This window comes from Homo sapiens, chromosome 19 (assembly GCF_000001405.40).
Source record: "Homo sapiens chromosome 19, GRCh38.p14 Primary Assembly".
Classification (NCBI taxonomy): domain Eukaryota; kingdom Metazoa; phylum Chordata; class Mammalia; order Primates; family Hominidae; genus Homo; species Homo sapiens.
In genome coordinates, this window is record NC_000019.10 from 9,107,598 (window position 1) to 9,129,343 (window position 21,746).

The 21,746-nt window shown below is 43.4% G+C and overlaps 2 protein-coding genes and 1 pseudogene across 2 annotated transcripts; all 3 read right to left on the bottom strand.

Moving 5' to 3' along the window:
* OR7G1 (olfactory receptor family 7 subfamily G member 1) lies at positions 7,231-8,166 on the bottom strand. Its single transcript, NM_001005192.2, has one exon. The coding sequence runs from the start codon at positions 8,164-8,166 to the stop codon at positions 7,231-7,233; it is 936 nt and encodes a 311-aa protein (NP_001005192.2).
* OR7G15P (olfactory receptor family 7 subfamily G member 15 pseudogene) lies at positions 14,486-14,889 on the bottom strand (annotated as a pseudogene).
* On the bottom strand, positions 18,415-19,353 carry OR7G3 (olfactory receptor family 7 subfamily G member 3). Its single transcript, NM_001001958.1, has one exon. The coding sequence runs from the start codon at positions 19,351-19,353 to the stop codon at positions 18,415-18,417; it is 939 nt and encodes a 312-aa protein (NP_001001958.1).
* Positions 19,354-21,746: the final 2,393 nt, after the last annotated feature.

Consider the following 21,746-nt stretch of genomic DNA (forward strand, 5'->3'; position numbering starts at 1 on the left):
TGTCCCCTGAGGCCACGTGTACACCATCCATATCTCTCCATTGTTTCTGCTCACCTCCACTTCACGAATCTTGCTCCCAGAACACATACCATTCGTCTAGTAAAAAAAAGGATTTTGATCTGAAGAATGTGAGTTCTCTTCATTGTCAGACCCGGAAAGACATTAAAATGAGACAGAAACCACACCCCTCCTCCCCTCCTTTGAACTATGCATTCATCTCATAAAACTGCTTGCTGTTGCCACAAGTAGCTATAAATTAACCTAATAATAGCATATGAATTAAAAAGAAATTATTTAGGCAGTTAGTGAGGGTACAGAAGTCCTGGGTAAGGTTTTTCTTTTTAATAAAAAGCAGCCCCCAAATCATTTCTTTTCAGGCAAAAAGTAGCCTGAAAAATCAAGCTGCAAGCATAGGTAAGCAAGCTGAAAGCCTGCGTAGGTGAATGCCAGCAGCTGTGCCAGAAGACAGGTATAACCAACATGAAGGTTTTCTTTTTTCTTCTTTCTTTCTTTCTTATTCTTTTTTTTTTTTTTTTTTTTTTTTTTTTGAGACAGTCTCACTCTATCACCCAGGCCGGAATGCAGTGGCGCCATCTCAGCTCACTGCAACCTCTGCCTCTGGGTTCAAGTGATTCTTGTGCCTCAGCCTCCAGAGTAGCTGGGATTACAGGCGAGTGCCACCACACCTGGCTAATTTTTGTATTTTTAGTAGAGATGAGATTTGATGCTGGGCGTGGTGGCTTATGCATGTAATCCCAGCACTTTGGGAGGCTGAGGTGGGTGGATAACCTGAGGTCAGGAGTTTGAGACCAGCCTGGCCAATATGGTGAAACCTTGTCTGTACTAAAAATACAAAAATTAGCCAGGCGTGGTGACAGGCACCTGTAGTCCCAGCTACTCGGGAGGCTGAGGCAGGAGAATCGCTTGAACCCAGGAGGTGGAGGTTGCAGTGAGCTGAGATCGTGTCCCTACACTCCAGCCTGGGTGACAGAGCAAGACTCCATCTCAAAAAAAAAAACAAAAACAAAAACAAAAAACCCTTAACCTGTAAGCCATCTGCAAGTTTGGGTCTTACATGTAAACTAGCTGGGCACAGTGGCTCACGCCTGTAATCCCAGCACTTTGGGAGGCTGAGGCAGGCGGATCACGAGGTCAAGAGTTCAAGACCACAATGACCAACATGGTGAAACTCCGTCTCTACTAAAAATACAAAAATTAGCCAGCCGAGGTGGCGCACACCTGTAATCCCAGCTATTCAGGAGGCTGAGACAGGAGAATCGCTTGAACCCAGAAGGCAGAGGTTGCAGTGAGCTCAGATTGTGCCACTACACTCCAGCCTGGGCGACAGAGCAAGACTCCATCTTAAAAAAAAAAAATGTGTAAGCTGCCCCAATTTTCCTTGCTTCGTTACCTGTCTTTTAAGGTTCTTCAATCTCTGACCACACAGGTAGTATCTGGCAAGCAACAGTATTCAACCTGAGATTTCAAGATGTTATGTCCATTATGCCAGTAATAATAATCTGTGTTCCCCCAGTTGATCTGTCAATCTAAAATAATCAAAAGGGTCAGAATCTAGTTTGTTTTATTATTTTTAGAGACAGGATCTGGCTCTGTTGCCCCGGCTGGAGTGCAGTGGTGCAATCATAGCTCACTGCAGCCTCAACTTCTTGAGCCCAAGCGATCCTCCCACTTCAGCCTCCCATGTAGCTGGGACTACAGATGTGCACCAACACGTCTGAGTAATTTTTTATTTTTTTTTTCAGAGAGATGGGGGTCTCTCTATGTTGCCCAAGCTGGCTTTGAACTCCTGGGCTCAAGCGATTTTCCCACCTCGGCCTCTCAAAGTGCTGGTATTACAAGAGCCACCACACCCAGCCAGAATCTAGTCTAAAGACAGTTTATTCAAGCACGATGTCTGAGACAAGTCACCAGGGAAGCACAGCTTCCAAAGAAGGGAAGTGAGTGTTTCAAGGTGCAAAAGTTTGAGATTGTTTATGTAGGCAAAATTCAGGGAAGTTTAACAGAATTTCTTTTTTCTATTTTTTTTTTTTTTTTTTTTGAGACACAGTCTTGCTCTGTTGCCCAGGGCTGGAGTGCAGTGGTGTGATCTCAGCTCACTGCAGCCTCCGCCTTCCAGGTTCAAGTGATTCTCGTGCCTCAGCCTCCTGAGTAGCTGGGATTACAGGCACCTGCCACCACGTCCGGCTAATTTTTGTATTTTTAGTAGAGATGGGGTTTTGCCATGTTGGTCAGGCTGGTCTCAAACTCCTGACCTCAAGTGATCCACCTGCCTCTGCCTCCTAAAGCCCTGGGATTACAGGTGTGAACTACTGCATGAAGCCCAGTTTAACAGAATTTCAACATCTTTAAGGCTTAATGCATAGTTACAATATTTGGTATTATTCTTCTAAACAGTAACAATTGCATTGTGTTGCATTTTAATGCAACTGATTAGTCTGGGTGGTTTTTTCTTTTAGGGAAGGTGTATTTAACATTTTACAATGATGACATAACAGTCGTGGGGTCCTGTGTACCATCTGGTCTGAGTTAGGTACAGGACAGTAAAGGAGGCAGTTAATCTATAACAAAGGTCAGTGACTGGAAGCAGGGAGATCTGGTCTCTGGTCTCTCCCAGTGCTTTATAGAACAAGAACCACAAAGAAGAGCCATTATGGAAAACAGTATAGAGGTTCCTCAGAAAACTAAAAATGGAATTACGATGTGATCCACTAATCCCACCATGGAGAATGTCTCCAAATGACTGAAACTAGGATTCACGACAGAAAAATCAACTGGACACAGAACAAGGCAGTAATCGAGGAAACAGAAAACTGAAACGTATAAAACACATAGAACACAGCAATGGCAGAATTAAGTCTCTCCTAATCAGCAATCATGTTAAAAAATAAAAGGATTGGCCGGGTGCGGTTGCTCACACCTGCAATCCCAGCACTTTGGGAGATTGAAGTGGGTGAATCATAAGGTCAGGAGATCGAGACCAATCTGGCTAACATGATGAAACCCCGTCTCTACTAAAAATACAAAAATTAGCCAGGCGTGGTGGCATGCACCTGTAATCCCAGCTACTCGGGAAGCTGAGGCAGGAGAATTGCTTGAACCCTGGAGGCCGAGGTTGCAGTGAGCTGAGATCACACCACTGCACTCCAGCCTGGGTGATAGAATGAGACTAAAAAAAAAAAAAAAAAGATAAAGGATTAAACTATCCAAACAAAAGGCAGTATTTGTCAGCATAAATACTAAAAATTGATTCAACTATATTTAGAAGAGACTTGTTTTAGACTCGAGACAAAACAGGGTAACAGTAAGAGTATGGATAGACAGATGTATTTCATGCAAATAGTATGCAGATGACAGCTGCGGAGGCTGCACTAATATCAGAAGACAGAATAAAGTCAAAACCATTAAATCAGTCAAAGGAGGACATATATATACATATACTCTTCCTGCTTTTTTGTGGTTATGAAATAAGCGATGTCACTACCTTGCTAACTTTTCTTTTCTCCTGTCTTATTTCACACTCAATATCTTCTTCTCTAACTAAAGTACTTCTCCATGGTAGAACTGTCCTTGTAAAGAAACATTCGAAAGGTTTTCATGACAGCCCCAAGGCAGCAGTGAGTCCTCTAACACGGCAATGATAGAATTACTTTTATTCAATGATGATTCTTTTTCTTTCTTTCTTTCTTTCTTTCTTTCTTTCTTTCTTTCTTTCTTCCTTTCTTTCCTTCTTTCTTTCCTTCTTTCTTTCTTCCTTTCTTTCTTTCCTTTTCTTTCTTTCTCTCTCTCTTTCTTTCTTTCTTGTCTTTTTTTTTTTTTAATTTATTTTTTGAGACGGAGTCTCGCTCTGTTGCCAGGTTGGAGTGCAGTGGCACTATCTTGGCTCACCACAACCTCAGCTTCCCGAGCAGCTGGGACCACAAGGTGCCCGCTACCATGCCCAGCTAATTTTTAAATTTTTAGTAGAGATGGGGTTTCACCATGTTGGCCAGGCTGATCTCGATCTCCTGACCTCAGGTGATCCCCCTGCCTTGGCCTCTCAAAGTGCTGGGATTACAGGCGTGAGTCACCGTGCCCAGCCAAGTAAGATTTTTCTTTTGGTCTCCAAAGGAGATGGGTTAGAATCATAGCAAGGGAAGATGACTGAGGGGGAAAGCGAGAACTTAGATAACATTCTTACAAATAAATCAATGGGACTGTTCTAAACCAAGTAAGATGTCAAAAAAAGATGATCAACCTTTGTCCTTCCTACCTAATAATTATTTATTTTATTCTACAATTCAGGTTTAATAAGTGGATGATAAATGCAACAAGGGGAACAATTCTAATTTCTAAAACAAGAGGGAAAAATATGTGAGAACAATAGCATTATAGGATTTATGATTATAGACTGGTTATGGAACACAATGATTCCACATTATTATACTGAATACTTAGGAGGTGCTGGGCATTGAATTAAGTGTTTGTAGTGCTTATCAGAGTGGAGTTCCCAGCCGGGTGTGGTGGCTCACGCCTGTAATCCCAGCACTTTGGGAAGCAGAGGTGGGCAGATCACCTGTGGCCAGGAGTTCGAGACCAGCTTGGCCAACTTGGGGAAACCCCATCTCTACTAAAAAAAAAAAAAAGAACAAAAATTAGCTGGGCATGGTGGCGCATGCCTGTAATCCCAGCTACTCAGGAGGCTGAAGCAGGAGAATCTCTTGAACCAGGGAGGCGGAAGTTGCAGTGAGCCTAGATTGCACCTTTGCACTCCTGCCCAGGTGACAGGCTCCATCTCAAAAACAAACAAAAAAACAAACAACCAAAAAAACCACCAAAAAACACCAGAGTGGACTTCCCAATAGGAATTATACTTTATATGGTCAGTCTAAGGCTCTCATACTAATCATTTCCCCCTCACCAGGAATTAGATTAAGAAAAAATATATGATCTATCTCTCTGTGGTGAGATTAAAGGTGATATCTTTTGGATTACTCTATGCAATCCCATTTATCAATAGATCTGGGAAGAAGAGTCAGATTTCTGTCTCTGGGCATCATGTCTGGGTATTACGTCTGTATTTGCTACAGCCATCTGGGTCCATGAGGGGAACCAGCCCTAAAAGAAAGCCACAGCCGGGCACGGTGGCTCACGCCTGTAATCCCAGCACTTTAGGAGGCTGAGGTGGGCAAATCACTTGAGGTCCGGAGTTCAAGAGCACCCTGGCCAACACGGTGAAACCCCATCTCTACTGAAAATGCAAAACTTAGCCAGGTGTGGTGGTGTGCACCTGTAATCCCAGCTACTTGGGAGGCTGAGGCAGGAGAATCACTTGAACCCAGGAGGCAGAGGTTGCAGTGAGCTGAGATTGTGCCACTGCACTTCAGCCTGGGTGACAGAGCCAGGCTGTCTAAAAAAAAAAGAAAGCCAAAAGAAGAAGGAGTAAGTGAATTATTCTCTACATTCCCTACCTCTGATATATTTGCAAAGAAATGTAGCTCTCTTTATTATTTGAGTATATTATAATCAACATTTCTTTCACTAAAGCCGACTTCTTCACTGATCAAGATAGAATATCTCACCACTAGGCCGGGCACAGTGGCTCACACCTGTAATCCTAGCACTTTTGGGAGGCTGAGGTGGGCGGATCCAAAGGTCAGGAGTTTGAGACTAGCCTCGCTAATACGGCAAAACCCCATCTCTACTAAAAATACAAAGATTAGCCAGGTGTGGTGGCAGCTGTCTGTAGTCCCAGCTACTGAGGAGGCTGAGGCAGGAGAATAGCTTGAATCTGGGAGGTGGAGTTTGCAGTGAGCTAAGATTGCACCGCTGCACTCCAGCCTGGGTGACAAGAGCGAGACTCTGTCTCTCAAAAAAAAAAAAAAAAAAAGAAAGAAAGAAAGAAAGAAAATCTCACCACTGAAATAATCTAATGATAGCAATTTTATTGATGATAAAACTGAGGGTAGTAAGTAGACGTTGATGTTGACCTGCACAGACAGTTTAGCAGTGACCGGGCTCTAAAATTACAGAATTCTGGTATCAACAATCAGCTCCCATTTTGCACAATAGGTTTCACTCTGGCATGCATTTCATATGGCCCTAAATATTCAATCAGGCAGTATCAATTCTGTGTTGCGAACACAGCCTTCTTTGGATTCTTGCCCTGACCTGTGAGACGCCTCCTGCTTTTCTTCCTCTGAGAATATTTACCAACCAAATCACTGTAACACTTGCCACAGGTTAACTTTTTAAACACCGCATGCAAAGAAACTGAGCTTTGAGAATAGAATTCATTTTTGACACATGACAGAGCTCCAAAAGAGGCAAGATTTCAACAACAACAACAAAAAACACACACACACATCCATGATGCAGACTAGTCACTTTAAGAAAATCTTGAAAGGTCGGGCGCGGTGACTCACGCCTGTAATCCCAGCACTTTGGGAGGCCAAGGTGGGCAGATCACTAGGTCAGGAGATTGAGACCATCCTGGCCAACACGGTGAAACCCCATCTCTACTAAAAAAATACAAAAAATTAGCCTGGCATGGTGGCGGGCGCCTGTAGTCCCAGCTACTCAGGAGGCTGAGGCAGGGGAATGGCGTGAACCCAGGAGGCGGAGGTTGCAGTGAGCGGAGATCGTGCCACTGCACTCCAGCCTGGGTGACAGAGCGAGACTCTGTCACAAAAAAAAAAAAAAAGAAAGAAAGAAAAAGAAAATCTTCATGATGCAAGAGTCAGGCACTCTGGCTTACCAAGGAATCCTGTCATGTTGATTCCTTTTAGAAGCTTCAGTTCAAAGCAGAGCACAAAGATCACAAAAAAGAAAGTAGGTCAGGCATAGTGGCTCATGCCTGTAATCCCAGCACTTTGGGAGGCCGAGGTGGGTGGATTACCTGAAGTCAGGAGTTCGAGACCACCCTGGCCAACCTGGTGAAACCCCATCTCTACTAAAAATACAAAAAAAATCCAGGTGTGGTGGTGTGTGCCTGTAATCCCAGCTACTCGGGAGGCCGAGGCAGGAGAATTGCATGAACCCGGGAGGCGGAGTTTGCAGTGAGCCGAGATCGTGCCACTGTACTCCAGCCTGGGCGACAGAGCGAGATTCTGCCTCGAAAAAAAAAAAAAAAAGTAAATCTCGATGCAAGAGTCAGGCACTCTGGCTTACCAAGGAATCCTGTTATGATGATTTATTTTAGAAGCTCCAATTCAAAGCAGAGGACAAAGATCGCTAAAAAGGAAACAGCCTACCAATAAGTTTCCTCAAAGCTTTCTTCATCTCCTTATTTCTCAGGCTGTAGATGAAGGGGTTCATCATTTGAGGGACCACAGTGTACATCACTGAAGCCACAGCAGTAATTCGGGAAGACTCAGCAACAGCAGAACTAATGTACACCCCAAAAGCTGTCCCATAGAACAAGGAAAAAACAGAGAGGTGACAGCCACAGGTGGAAAACGCTTTATACTTTCCTCTTGCTGATGGCATTCTCAGAACAGAGGTGACTATTTGAGAATAAGAGAAAATTATTCCAGAGAGAGGAATTGCACCAAATACACTACTTGCAAAATATATGAGGATGTTGTTGATGAGGGTGTCAGAACAGGCGAGCTTGATGACCTGAACGACTTCACAGAAGAACAAAGGGATTTCAACGTTTTTGCAGAAGGACAGCTGCAATACCATCAGACTCTGAACCAGGGCATCCATAGTGCTCATGAACATGGAGAGAAGAATCAGCAAGCCCCAGAAATGGACATTCATGAGGACTGTGTACCTCAGTGGGTGGCAAATGGCCACATAGCGGTCGTAGGCCATGACTGCAAGAAAGCAACTTTCCAAGCCAGCAAAAACCAAGACAAGACAGATCTGGGTGAGGCAGCCTGTGTAAGTGATACTCTGATTCTGAGCTTGGATGTTCACTAGGATCTTTGGGACTGTGGTTGTGGTTAAACAGATGTCAGTAAAGGAGAGATTAAAGAGAAGGAAGTACATGGGGGTGTGGAGGTGGGAGTCAGAGATGACAGCCAGGAGAATGAGCAGGTTCCCCAGGATGGTGACCAGGTACATGGACAGGAACAGGCTGAAAGGGATTAACTTCAGTTCTGGGTCCTCTGTCACTTTCATGAGAAGAAATTCTGAAACAGCTGTTTGGTTTCTGGGTCCCATGTTTTTGATGATCAAAAAATGGGATAATTAGACAATCAAATGTGTTTTCTAGACTGCGGGAGCAACGTCAACAGAGGCAAACACCATCTTGAAAAGGGGTAGATTCTAAGGGAAGAAAATAAATAAGTGTTGCCTTTTGTATTGATATTACTTTACTGCTTTTACAAAACTTGAAGCTAATACAGCACAGCATCAATAATTGTTAATTCTGGAAATGGTTAAGGGGTCATCATTTTTTATTTTTATTTATTTATTTTTTAAATTTATTTATTTATTTTTGAGACAGAGTCTTGCTCTGTGGCCAGGCTGGAGTGCAGTGGCTTGATCCTGGCTCACTGCAACCTCTGCCTCCTGGTTTCAAGCAATTCTCCTGCCTGAGCCTCCCAAGTAGCTGGGATTAAAGATGCTTGCCACAACACCTGGCTAATTTTTGTATTTTTAGTAGAGACGGGGTTTTGCCATGTTGGCCAGGCTGCTCTCAAATGCCTGGCCTCAAGTGATCTGCCCAACTTGGCTTCCCAAAATGCTGGGTTTACAGGCGTGAGCCACCACGCCCAGCCTCATCTTTTTTTTTTTGAGATGGAGTTTCGCTCTTGTTGCCCAGGCTGGAGTGCAGTGGCACAAACTTGGTTCACTGCAACCTCCGCCTCCCAGGTTCAAGCGATTCTCCTTCCTCAGCCTCCTGAGTAGCTGGGATTACAGGCATGTGCCACCACTCTGCTGTTCTGATTATTAAAAATATTTGGTAATGAAAAAACAAAAAATAAATAAAATAAAACAAAGTACATACCAGGAAAACGGCTGGAAGACTCTGTCTGGACCCCCAGAGACTTCACGCCAGCCAACAGAAATAATACAAAGCTGTGTCAAGAACCAGGAAAGGAGAATCGCTTGAACCCAGGGGGCGGAGGTTGCAGTGAGCTGAGATCATGCCATTATACTCCAGCCTGGGCAACGGAGCAAAACTCCATTAAAAAAAAAAAAAACACCACAGGAAAGTGAAGATAAGGTGAAGTTTAGCAAGCTGCTCACCTCCTCTCCCCCACAAGACTGCAAGTAAATTACAGAGAATTTTATAACAGTCATCCTGTTTTCAAAGAAAATGGTAACTACAGAATTCAGGATAGTGTATTTGTTGCTGGAAGAAAACAAGGTGATTTGAGTAGAAAATCCTACAGGTAGGTTCTATGGTGATGACATTAACTTATTTTTAATGCCAGATAGGTATATGCGGTTTTATCATGTTACTATTCTCTCAGAATTACAGATAGATTTTTTTTTTTTTCCTGAGACAGTGTCTCGTTCTGTCGCCCAGGTTGGAGTGCAGTGGCACGATCTCGGCTCACAGCAAGCTCCGCCTCCCAGGTTCACGCCATTCTCCTGCCTCAGCCTCCTGAGTAGCTGGGACTACAGACGCCCGCCACCACGGCCGGCTAATTTTTTGTATTTTTAGTAGAGACGGGTATCACTGCGTTAGCCAGGATGGTCTCCATATCCTGACCTTGTGATCTGCCCACCTCCGCCTCCCAAAGTGCTGGGATTACAGGCGTGAGCCACTGTGCTCTACACTACCTACAGATAGATAGATTTTATGCATTACTTTGTATATGATAATGTAACAAGTATGATTAAAGAAAGACCCTTCATATTCTAACCCTAAATATGTTTTCTCATGTTCTCCTAATATTAAAGTTAGGAGTGTCAGGCTTCAGAGGTTATCAGCATCTCTCCAAGTGCTTATTAAAAATTCTCATACCTCACACATTTCTCAGAGATTTAACACCAGTAGTTCTCGGGCAAGGCCAAGAACCTTCTCTATGAGGAAAGGTCTCGGGTGGTTCCTCTCTGTGTCTGTTCTGTGGACACCAACAGAGGAATCTCAGTCCTAGGAGACTCTATGAGTGCTAGAATAGGAGCTGCGTTCCAGATATGTAAGAGCTTTTTGTTTTGTTTTGGGGGTTTTTTAGAGACAGGATCTTGCCATGTTGCCCAGGCTGGTCTCAAACTCCTGGCCTCAAGCAATCCTCACGCTTCAGCCTCCCAAGTAGCTGGGACTACAGCCACGAGCCACCATGCCTGGCTTCCCAGATATTTTGGTGAAAATAAAGCCAGCTCCTCAAGCTCCAAAGACAGCTGCAACAGAAGACTCTCCACCCACTCCTTTGATTCTCTTTTGACACCTCCATTGTTTGCTCCTCACACTTAGAGAGATAATTCTGACTGATGATCCTGCGTGTGTGTGTGTGTGTGTGTGTGTGTGTGCTTATAGAAAAAAATTATGCCCCAAAATCTTGCCAACTTCCATTTTCTCCTGTCTTGTCTTACACTCGACATCTCCTTCTCAAATGAAAGTATTTCTCTACAGAGTAATCTTCCTAGTGAAGACACAGTAAACAGTTTTGCACGGGAGCACTGAGACTACAGCTAATCCTAAAATTATACAATTAGAATATATTTGTGTAATATACATATAATTATACATATAGAGGATTATATATATATGTATATCTCCAGGTGTGGTGGCACTCACTCATTTGTAGTTCCAGCTACTCAGGGTCGCTGAGGCCCAGGAGTTCAAGGCTGCAGTGAGCCATGATCGTGGCACTGCACTCCAGCCTGAGTGACAGAGTGAGACCCTGTCTCTAATAAACAAGTAAATAAAAATAAAATTTAAAAAGAAAATTTCTATTACAAATAGACTCTCTTCACAGCAGACCTACAGAAAGACCGTCGGTTTTCTCTGAGCACCATGTCTGAATATGATGCCTACATTTCTGCAGACATCTGTTTGCAAGAGGAAAATCAGCACAGACATGGAGCCATCTTCCCGAGGCTTGCATGAATCCCCACACTACTGCTCCCATGCATTTCTTACCCCTGAAGTTCTTGTCATAAAAAATAACTCTGTTTCTTATTCATGTAAATTATAGTCAGAGTTTCTTTCTCTTATAAGAAATAAAAGCTTCTGGCTGGGCACAGTGGCTCATGAATGCGGTGGTCACTGGTACATTGTAGTCTCTGCCTCCCTAGCGGCTCAATTGCCAAAGCTCCTCATTAGCCAAGGAATTTGTGTTGGCACTGTAATCCCAGGGTGCTTAAATCCTTGCAGAACAAGGGAGAAATTCAGGATGGCTGCTGTCCTGACCCTAGAGGCCAAGTGTACATCATCCACTTTTCTTTTTTTCTTTCTTTTTTTTTTTTTTTGAGATGGAGTCTTGCTCTTTCACCCAGCCTGGAGTGCAGTGGCGCAATCTCGGCTCACTGCAACCTCTGCCTCCTGGGTTCAAGCGATTCTCCTGCCTCAGCCTCCCAAGTAGCTGGGATTACAGGCGCCTGCCACCACTCCCAGCTAATTTTTGTATTTTTAGTAGAGATGGGATTTCACCATGTTTGTTAGGCTGGTCTGGAACTCCTGACCTCAGGGGATCCACCCACCTCTGCCTCCCAAAGTGTTGGGATTATAGGCATGAGCCACCATGCCCAGTCTATTTTATTTTTTTAATTTTTATTTTAATTCAGGGGCACATATGCAAGTTTGTACATAGGCAAACTTGTGTCATGGGAGTTTGTTGTACCAATTATTTCATTACCCAGGTATTGAGCCTGGTACCCATTAGTTATTTTTCCTGATCCCTGCCTCCTCCAGCCCTTCACCCTTCAATAGGCCACAGTGTATGTTTTTCCCCTCTATGTGTCCATATGTTCTCATCATTTAGCTCCCACTTATAAGTGAGAACACGTGGTCTTTGGTTTTCTGTTCCTACACTAGTTTGCTAAGGATAATGGCATCCAGCTCCATCCATTTTCCTGCAAAGAACATGATCTCATTCTTTTTTATGGCTGCATAGTATTCTATGGTGTGTATGTACCACATTTTCTTTATCCATTCTATCAGTGATGGGCATTTAGATTGATTCCATGTCTTTGCTATTGTGAATAGTGCTGCAATGAACATAATGTGTGCTTGTGTCTTTATAGTACAATGATTCATATTCCTTTGGGTACATACCCAGTAATGGGATTGCTGGGTCTAATGGTATTCTGTCTTTAGGTCTCTGAGGAATTCCCACACTGCCTTCCACAATGGTTGAACTAATTTACACTCCCACTGACAGTGTATAAGTGTTCCTTTTTCTCCACAGCCTTGCCAGCATCTGTTATTTTTTGGCTTTTTAGTAATAGCCATTCTGATTGATGTGAGATGATATCTCACTGTGGTTTTGATTTGCATTTCCCTAATGATCAGTGATATTGAGCTTTTTTTTATATGATTGTTGGCCGCCTATATGTCTTCTTTTGAAAAATGTCTGTTCATGTTCTTTGCTCACTTTTTAAATGGTTTTTTTTTCTTGTAAATTGGTTTAAGTTCCTTAAAGATGCTGGATATTAGACCTTCATCAGATGGATAGATTGCAAAAATTTTCTCCCATTCTGTAGGTTGTTTGTTCACTGTGATGATAGTTTCTTTCGCTGTTTAGAAGCTCTCTAGTTTAATTAGATCCCATTTGCCAATTTTTGCTTTTGTTGCAGTTGCTTTTGGTGTCTTCATCATGAAATCTTTGCTCGTGCCTATGTTCTAAATGGTATTACCTAGGTTGTCTTCTGGGGTATTTATAGTTTTGGGTTTTACATTTAAGTCTTTAATCTGTCTTAAGTTAATTTTTGTATATAATTTAAGGAAGGGGTACAGTTTCAATCTTCTGCATATGGCTAGCCAGTTATCCCAGCACCATTGATTGAGTAGGGAATCCTTTTCCCATTGCTTGTTTTTGTCAGGTTTGTCAAAGATCAGATAGTTGAAGGTGTGCGGTCTTATTTCTGGGTTCTCTATTCCGTTCCATTGGTCTATTTGTCTGTTCTTGTACAAGAACCATGCTGTTTTGATTACTGTAGCCCTGTAGTGTAGTTTGGAGTCAGATAGTGTGATGCCTCCAGCTTTGTTCCTTTTGCATAGGGTTATCTTGGCTATTCAGGATTTTTAAAAAACAGTTATTTCTAGAAATCATTTTAAAAGAGAGTAAAATCTTTTTCTGGAGGTGTGTAAGCTACTTCAGTTGCTTCTTGGATGTGAGCCTTTGGTTGTAGCTATTTTTTGATAAATTTTCTCTGTTTTTTTCTTGGTTGTTACTGGCACTACTATTACATGAATATTTATGATTATGTCACACTAAAATATGTCTTTGAACCAGAAATTAATAAAAGTTTTCTCATCTTATTGCTTTATCACATTGAAAGTCACAAAAATTAGTTTTATTTCTATTTCTGGTTCTCCAGCCTGGGCAACACAGCAAGATTGTGTCTCTAAAACCAAAATAAAGAAAAAATTGAAATGTTCAGAGACTCAGAAAGGGAAAAGTCATGAGGCAAGTGTTCAGATACCACCTTGGGGAAAGTTTGCTGACTCTGTGGAAAGTGAGCAGGAAATGAAGTAGCGTTAAGGGTAGAATGTGTTGTCCCAGGGTTGATAAGAAATGTGGTGGTGGTCGGCCTGGTGACTCAGGCCTGTAATCCCAGCACGTTGGGAGGCCGAGGCGGGAGAATCTCTTGATCCCAGGAGTTCGAGATCACCCTGGCCAACATGGCGAAACCCCGTCTCTACTAAAAATAGAAAAAAATTAGCTGGGCGTGGTGATGCTTGCCTGTAATCCTTGTTACTCCGGAGACTGAAGCATGAGAATTGCTTGAACCTAGGAGGCGGAGGCTACAGTGAGCCGAGACTGCACCACTGCACTCCAGCCTGGGTGACAGAACAGACTCTGTCTCAAAAAAAAAAAAAAAAGAAAGAAAGAAAAAGAAAAAGAAAAAGAGAAAAACTGAGCTTGGAGAATGGAACTAATTTTTTTTTATTATTTATTTTTAATTTTTATTTATTTATTTATTTATTTTGAGACGGAGTCTCGCTCTGTCGCCCAGGCTGGAGTGCAGTGCGGCATCTCAGGTCACTGCAAGCTCCGCCTCCTGGGTTCACGCCATTCACCCGCTTCAGCCTCCCAAGTAGCTGGGACTACGGGTGCCCGCCACCACGCCCGGCTAATTTTTTGTATTCTTATTCGAGACGGGGTTTCACCGTGTTAGCCAGGATGGTCTCGATCTCCTGACCTCGTGATCCTCCCGCCTCGGCCTCCCAAAGTGCTGGGATTACAGACGTGAGCCACCGCGCCCGGCCGTGGAACTCGTTTTCGTACAATCACAGAGCTACACACAAAGAACAAGTGATGTTTCAACCCCAAGTTAAAATGTACTTACCCACTATGTTATCTAATCATTTTAGAAAACTCAGTGATAGATCAGTCAGGCATTCTGGCTCACCAGTATTTCTGTGTCTTTGACCCACTTTGAATCCCAAGTCCAAAGTGGACAACATAATCAGGAAGAGAAGTTATCCTACCAATGAGTTTCCCCGAGGCTCTCTTCATATCTCTGTTCCTCAGGCTGTAGATAAAGGGGTTCATAATAGGTGTGACCACTGTGTACATCACTGAAGCCACCGCAGCCCTCCTTGAAGAGTCAGAAACGGCAGAGCTAATGTACACCCCCCAACCCGCCCTGTAGAATCGGGAAACAAATGGGAGGTGAGACTCACAGCTGAAAAAAGCTTTATTACTTGCTGACGGCATTCTCAAAACAGACAAGGCTATTTGAGAATAAGAAAACATGACCCCAGAGAGAAGAATATCACCAAATATGCAAGTTGCAAAATAGACCAGAAAGTTATTTTTATTTATTTATTTTTATTGTTTTTTTTTTTTTTTTTTTGAGTCGGAGTCTCCCTCTGTCACCCAAGCTGGAGTGCAGTGGCATGATCTCGGCTCACTGCAACCTCCGCCTCCCAGGTTCAAGTGATTCTCCTGCCTCAGCCTCCTGAGTAGCTGGGACTACAAGCAAGCGTCACCACACCCGGATAATTTTTGTATTTTTAGTAGAGACAGTGTTTCACCATGTTGGGCAGGCTGGTCTTGAACTCCTAACCTCGTGATCCACCCGCCTCGGCCTCCCAAAGTGCTGGGATTACAGGCATCAGCCACCGTGCCTGACTGCAGTAGCCATTATTTTATTCTGATTTTATGAGATCAGCTCTTTTGGATTCTACACATGGTTGAGATCATGCAGTATTTGTCTTTCTGTACCTGGCTTATTTCACTTAGCATAATGTTCTCCAGGTTCCTCCATGTTGTGGCGAATGACAGAATTTCCTTCTTTTTAAAGGGTGCATAGTACTCTATCATATACCACATTTTCTTTTTCTTTTCCAGACAAAGTCTCACTCTGTTGCCCAGGCTAGAGTGCAGTGGTGCGATCTCGGCTCACTGCAACCTCCGCCTCCTGGGTTCAAGTGATTCTCCTGCCTCAGCCTCCTGAGTAGCTGGGATTACAGGCATACGTCATCATGCCTGGCTAATTTTTGTATTTTTAGTGGAGACACGGTTTCACCATGTTGGCCAGGCTAGTCTTGAACTCCTGACCTCAAGTAATCTACCTACCTCAGGCTCCCAAAGTGCTGGGATTACAGGCGTGAGCCACCGTGCCTGCCATACCACATTTTCTTTATCCACTTATATGTTGATGGACATTCAGGTTGATTACATTTCCTGGCTATTGTGACTAATACTGCAATGAACATGAGAGTGCAGATATCTCTTCAGCATATTGATTTCAATTCCTTTGAAATTCAACAGCACAAACATAAATCAATATAACTATAGATAGTCAACCTAAATAACAGAAAGAGGCTATCTAAAAGAAAATGATGTTTATTGCCAAAGAAAGCATTGCAATAGCGATACGCGTGCCATCATAAACTATGTATGCATTCAAGGAGGTAAAGGAAGACAAAGTTTTTTAATGGAAAAATGAGGAAGGTTACATAATTGTTTTGAAATAATTATCCTTCACAGTAATAACTAATAACAAGGGTGATGCCAGTCTGAAGCTGGACAGGCAGTTGCTGGGCAGATGTACTTGCAGAAATATTTTTTGTGTAAGGTTGCAACAGCCTTTTGTGCAAGGTTGTGGTTTTTGTCGTCTCGTGATAGTTTTTGTCGTCTCGTGATAGTTTTTGTAGTCTTGTGATAGTTTTTGTTATTAGGCATGCAAGTGAAATAAATCTCTTCATGGCCTTCCCTAGCTTTACTTGTCAGGATGTTTTTGTTTTTTTCATTTTTGTTTGTTTGTTTGTTTTTCATGAGATGGAGTCTTGCTCTGTCGCCCAGGCTGGAATGCAGTGGTGCGATCTTGGCTCACTGCAACCTCCGCCTCCCAGGTTCAAGCGATTCTCATGCCTCAGCCTCCTGAGTAGCTGGGATTACAGATATGCGCCACAACGTCTGGCTAATTTTTGTATTTTTCATAGAGATGGGGTTTCACCATGTTGGCCAGGCTGGTCTCGAACTCCTGACCTTGTGATCCGCCCACTTCAGCCTATCAAAGTGCAGACTTTTTTGATAGCCGCTACACCCAGCCTTTTTTTTTTTTAATAAGTGACTCCATTTTGATTCTGACAATTTTAACAATATATATACCAAGTACAGTCAGCCTTCCATATCTGCCAGTACCACATTCATGGACTCAACCAACTGTGGATCAAAAATATTAAAAATATTAAAGAAAATTTTAAAAATATTAAATAAGAATATTACAAAAATACAATATTAAGTAATACAACTATTTACATAGGATTAACATTATGCTAGGTAATATAAGTAATCTAGAAATGATTTAAAGTATAGGCGACCTGGGCACAGTGGCTCACACTGCTTAATCCCAGCACTTTGGAAGGCTGAGGCAGAAGGATTGTTTGAGGCCAGGAGTTTGAGGCTGCAGTGAGTTATAATCACACCACTGTAGTTCAACCTCGGCAACAGAGCAAGGCTCTCTCTAAAAAAGAAATTAATCATTTAATATTAAAATTAAAAATTAATTACTTGATTTTTAAATTGTAAATAAATTACTTAATTTTTAAATTAAAAATAAATTAGCTAGCTGGGCATGGTGGCTCATGCCTGTAATCCCAGCACTTTGGGAGGCTGAGGCGGGCAGATTACCTGAGGTCAGGAGTTCAAGGCCCGCCTGGCCAACATGGTGAAACTCTGTCTCTACTAAAAATACAAAAATGAGCCAGGCACAGTAGCAGGCGCCTGTAATCCCAGCTATTCAGGAGGCTGAGGCAGGAGAATCGCTTGAGCCCCAGAGGTGGAGGTTGCAGTAAGCCGAAATTGAGCCACTGCACTCTAGACTGGGCGACAGAGCAAGACTCTGTCTCAATAAATAAATAAATAAATAAATAAATAAATAAGTTTTTAAATTTTTAATTAAATTTAATTTTTTTTAAAAAAAGACTTAGTATTGGATAGACCAGTAGGGTGACTATAGTTCAAAATAATCCATTGTATATTTCAAAATACCTAGAAGAGAACAATTGGAATGGTTGGAGCATAAAGATAAGACAAATATTTAAGGTGATGGATATCTAAAGTAACAAATCCTTGCAGATTATACAAATGTATTACACTATCACATGCATCCTGAAACAATGTACATCTCTTATGCATTGATACAAAAATTTAAAAAAAGCCAGGTGTGGTGGCATGCACCTGCAGTCTCAGCTACTCGTCAGGCTGAGTCCAGAGGATCGCTTTAGCCCAGGAATTCGAGGCAGCAGTGAGCTGTGATCACACCACTGCACTCCAGCCTGGGCAACAAAGTGAGAGACTGTCTCAAAAATCAATTAGTCAGTCAATCAATCCAAAAAGAACTCAAGTCCACGTGGTCCGATTCCAAAACTATCACCCTGAACCATCTGATCTCTGGTCTCATGTATTCAAAGACATTGGTCAGGTGGGGCACAGTGGCTCATGCCTGTAATCCCAGCACTTTGGGAGGCTGAGACGGGCAGATCACCTGAGGTCAGGAGTTCGAGACCATCCTGGCCAATGTGGTGAAACCCCGTCTCTATTAAAAATAGAAAAATTAGCTGGGCTTGGTGGCACGTGCCTGTAATCCCAGCTACTCCGGAGGCTGAAGCAGGAGAATCGCTTGAACCCAGGAGGCGGAGGTTGCAGTGAGCCAAGATTGCGTCACTACACTCCAGTCTGGTCAACAGAGCGAGACTCCATCTCAAAAAACAAACAAACAAACAAAAACAAAAACAAAAACAGAAAACCCCAAAGACATTAGTCAGGCTTTCAAGACTTCTCATTACTTCTTTCTCCCTGACATATCCCAGCAGTGTAAGCCCAAGAAGCTGAGACATCAATGGAAAGATGGTATCCTAGATATTAGTTTCCTCAAAGCCTTCAACATGTCCTTGTTTCTCAGGCTGTAAATGAGTGGGTTCAGCATGGGGGTGACCACGGTATACATCACTGATGCTATTGCACCCTTCCTGGAGGAGTGGGTAGCCCCAGAACTAAGGTACACCCCAAACCCTGTTCCATAAAACAAGGAAACAACGATTAAATGTGACCCGCAGATGGAAAAAGCTTTATACTTTCCACCAGCTGATGGAATTTTCATGACAGAGGAGACAATTCGTGTGTAAGAGAAAATGATCCCAGAGAGAGGAACAACACCTAACAGGCTGGTCACCAAATACACCAGGATGTTATTGATGAGGACATCAGAACAGGCGAGCTTGAGAATATGAGCTAGTTCACAGAAAAAGTGGGGAATTTCCAGGTCTATGCAGAAGGTCAGCTGTAGCACCATCAACGTGTGCAGCAGAGCATCCAGGACACTAACGATGAAGGACAGCAGAAGCAGCAGCCCACAGAGTTTGGGGTTCATGATGACATTGTACCTCAGTGGGTGACAGATGGCCACAAATCGATCATAGGCCATCATGACCAGAATTCCATTTTCCAATCCAACAAAAACCAGGACAAAGCAGATTTGGGTGAGGCAGCCTGTGTAATTGATGGATTGAGCCTGTGCCTGGATGTTCACCAGCATCTTGGGCATCGTGGTGGAGGTGAAACAGATGTCGACCAAGGACAGGATAGAGAGGAGGAAGTACATGGGGGTGTGGAGGTGGGAGTCAGAGTTGACGGCCAGGATGATGAGCAGGTTCCCCAGCATTGTGGCCAGGTACATGGACAGGAACAGCATGAAGAGGATGGGCTGCAGCTCCGGATCCCCTGACAATCCCAAGAGAAAGAATTCTGGAGTGTCTGAGAAGTTTCCTGCTTTCATGTTGTTGATGAGTCTTGATCTTGTCAATATTATCAAAACCAAACCAGTTATAAGTTATAGACCTTTTTTCCTTCCTTCCTTCCTTCTTTCTTTCTTTCTTCCTTCCTTCCTTCCTTTCTTTTTCTTTCTTTCTTTCTTTCTTTCTTTCTCTCTCTCCCTCTCTCTCTTTCTCTTTCTCTCTCTTTCTTTCTTTCTCTCTCTCCCTCCGTCTTTCTTTCTTTCTCTTTCTTTCTTTCTTCTTACTTTCTTTTTCTTTCCCTCCCTCCCTCTCTCCCTCCTCTTTCTTTTTCTCTTTCTCTTTCTTTCTTTTCTCTTTCCTTCTTTCTTTCTTTCTCCTTTTTCTTTCTTTCTTCCTTTCCTTTCTTTCTCTTTCTTTCTCTCTCTCCCTCCCTCCTTCCCTCCCTCTCTCCCTCCTCTTTTTCTCCTTCCTTCCTTCCCTCCTTCCCCCCTCTCTTTCTTTCTCTCTCTTTTCCTTCCTTCCTTCCTTTCTCTCTCTCTCTCTCTTTCTTTCCTTCCTTCCTTCCTTCCTCCCTTCCTTCCCTCCTTCTTTCTTTCCTTCTTTCTTCTTTGCAGGGTCTCTCTCTCTCTGTCATCCATGCTGGAGTGCAGTGGCATGATCATAGCTCACTGTAGCCTCATCCCCCTGGGCTCAAGCAATCCTCCTCTCTCAGCCTCCCAAATAGCTGGGATGACAGGCATGAACCCCCATGCCCAGCCTGTTCTTTACTTCCTTCCTAGGTACCCTATCAGTGTCTTTCTCACCCACCAATTTCCCTTTCTCATTACAGTTTGTGAAAATAAAAATTAAGCCCTCTTTATCTAGCAGCATAAGCCCCTCCCACTATTTTTATTTGCCTTCATCTGTCTTTCATTTGTATCACAGATAATGTTAATAAAGAAAATTTTAACAGTAAGCCATGCATCAGACCCTCTTTCCATTATTTTTTTCTTTTCTTTTTTTTTTTGAGATGGAGTCTCGCTCTGCTACCCAGGCTGGAGTGCAGTGGTGGGATCTCAGCTCACTGCAACCTCTTCCTCCAGGGTTTGAGTGATCCTCCTGCCTCAGCCTCCCAAGTAGCTGGAACTACAGGTGTGTGCCAACACACCTGGCTGATTTTTATACTTTTAACAGAGATAGGGTTTCACCATGTTGGCCAGGCTGGTCTTGAACTCCTGACTTGAAGTGATCCACCCGCCTCAGCCTCCTAAAGTGCTGGGATTACAGGCTTGAGCCACTGCACCCACTCTTCCTATTATTACTGGTGCAGCCCCTGGTTCAGGCAACCCCTGAGCCTTGGCACTGATTCCTGGAGGAGTCCTGTGTGAGTCAGCGCCAAACCTTTCCTGTTCCTTCTGGCTTATCCAGATTCTTGAGAAATTGATTCTGGGGCCCCCAAAGCAGGAAGTAAAGAATTGATGTATGCCGGCAATGTCAAAACATCAGCCTGCTGTTCTCATAAACCCATAAGTTAAGGAAATTCTGTAATGATGACTCAGGAGTTGGGGCAAACATATTATAGAATCACAGCATGTGAACAGTTGAATGGTGCAGTGAGCCCATCTCAGCCCTTTGCTTCACAAATTGAGTTCCTGGCCAGACACAGCGGCTCACACCTATAATCCCAGCACTTTGGGAGGCTGAGGCAGAAGGGTCGCTTGAGGCCAGGAGTTTGAGACCAGCCTGAACAAAGTAGCAAGACCCATCTATAGTAAACATTTTTTAAAAATTAAATTAAATTAAAAATTAGCCAGGCACGGTGGTACGTGTCTGTAGTCCCAGCAACTTGGGAGGCTGAGTTGGGAGGATCACTTGAACCCAGGAGTTGGAAGCTGCAGTGAGCTTTCATAGGGTCACTGCATGCCAGCCTGGGCAACAGAGCAAGACTCTGCCTCTTAAAACAAATACACAAACAAGCTGGGCGCGGCGGCTCAAGCCTGTAATCCCAGAACTTTGGAAGGCTGAGGCAGGCGGTTCACGAGGTCAGGAGATCAAAACCATCCTGGCTAACATGGTGAAACCCCGTCTCTACTAAAAATACAAAAAATTAGCCGGACGTGGTGGTGGGTGCCTGTAGCCCCAGCTACTCAGGAGGCTGAGGCAGGAGAATGGCGTGAACCCGGGAGGTGGAGCTTGCAGTGATCCGAGATCCTGCCACTGCACTCCAGCCTGGGCGACAGAGCGAAACTCTGTCTCAAACAAACAAACAAAAAACCAAATACACAAACAAAAACAAAATTCAGGCCCCCAACCGGGAGCTGGCTTTTACTGGAGAAAGACAAATGATTATAAAAGCTTCAACCATTGGTGCATAAAACTTGGACTCAGACAGTTGTCAGTTCCGTCATGTATGCCTCAATTGTGACATGGATCCGTGACATGAGAAGGTCCCTGA

Excerpts from the sequence above, each read along its gene's own strand:
- OR7G3 (NM_001001958.1), bottom strand. The coding sequence starts at position 19,353 with ATGAAAGCAGGAAACTTCTCAGACACTCCAGAATTCTTTCTCTTGGGA.
- OR7G1 (NM_001005192.2), bottom strand. The coding sequence starts at position 8,166 with ATGGGACCCAGAAACCAAACAGCTGTTTCAGAATTTCTTCTCATGAAA.